General features: G+C 56.1%; 1 annotated feature.

Moving 5' to 3' along the window:
• Positions 345 to 844: an enhancer, noted in NCBI's record as "H3K4me1 hESC enhancer chr2:116851897-116852396 (GRCh37/hg19 assembly coordinates)". NCBI's record gives its function as "activates a minimal SCP1, AML or CMV promoter by ChIP-STARR-seq in naive H9 embryonic stem cells {active_cell/tissue: H9 hESC(naive)}" and the evidence as "EXISTENCE:reporter gene assay evidence [ECO:0000049][PMID:30033119]".

Consider the following 1,140-nt stretch of genomic DNA (forward strand, 5'->3'; position numbering starts at 1 on the left):
TGGGCACCTAGGTGGTTTATTCAGGCACTGGTGTTAGCAGGTCCAGGTGGCCTGATCCTTGGGCTTTCAGGGAGCTTACTCAGGTGCCAGCAATGGAGGTGGTGGGCCAGATGGGTGGGTGGGTCCATAAGCCCACGAATAGCATGTATGGCATGAACAATGGTAGTAGCACTGATGTGGCAATTCTTAGGCTCCCCGGTGGCTCTTGTTAATAGGGCTGTGATGGGCTAGGCATGCCAGTTTCCTGGAACCCAGTTGGTGCATGCAGGCAAGTGCTAGCAGTGGTGTTGGTGGCAGGCTGTGTGGGCCCATCTTCAGGTTCCCAGGAGGAGTGCACAGGTGCTAGCAGAGGTGGACCAGCCAGGGTGCTCCCCAGGTCCCTGGGTGGCATGCTCAGGCACTGGTGGGGGATGATGCCAGGCCAAGCAGGCCTGAACTCACGCCCTCTGGTGGTGCACATGGGTGCAGGCTACAGTAGGTAGGGTAGGGCAATCTGCAGTGGTAGAGAGAGAAAGCCTGTTCTTACAGTGTGTGAAATTTTGCAGCAGTCCTGCTGCTGGGAGGCAATGAGTTGCTGTCAGTGGGAGCAGACTCAAGCAGGCAGACAAGCAGCCTTCAGGTTCTGGGGAGTCTATATTTGGCTCCCCAGTGGCAGCAGCAGCTGTGGTGGTATTCAGGGATATCCCGTACTTAGGACATACTTAGGGCATATATTAGAGCACAGAAGCCATGCTGCTTGTTGTCAGTAGCCCCATATAGGCAGCTTTCAGGCTCTGAGAGTTGCTCACTTTGGCTCCTGGCAGTAGCCACAGCCATGGTGGTGTGCAGGAGGAGTTAGTCCTCAGAGCACAAGCTAGAGCAGAGACTGCTGCTGTTGGGGTTGGAGTTGCTGTCAGCAGCCCCAGGAAAGCAGCTCTTAACCCCTGGGGAGTTTCCACAGCTTAGGTTTCCTTTTTCCTAGGGCAGCCTCCCTGGTGTGCTGTACCACCCTTTCCCTGGGGTGTAGAACTCTGTGTGGCCTACAGTTATGGGGACGCTGCCACATTGTTGGGTCTACCTGGTGTTGCACCACTGCAGCCCTCCAAGTGGACATGGGGAATTTCAGGGAGGGCTCCCAAGATGTGGAGATGCAGGGGCTGT

The sequence above is a fragment of the Homo sapiens genome, chromosome 2 (assembly GCF_000001405.40).
Source record: "Homo sapiens chromosome 2, GRCh38.p14 Primary Assembly".
Classification (NCBI taxonomy): Eukaryota; Metazoa; Chordata; class Mammalia; order Primates; family Hominidae; genus Homo; species Homo sapiens.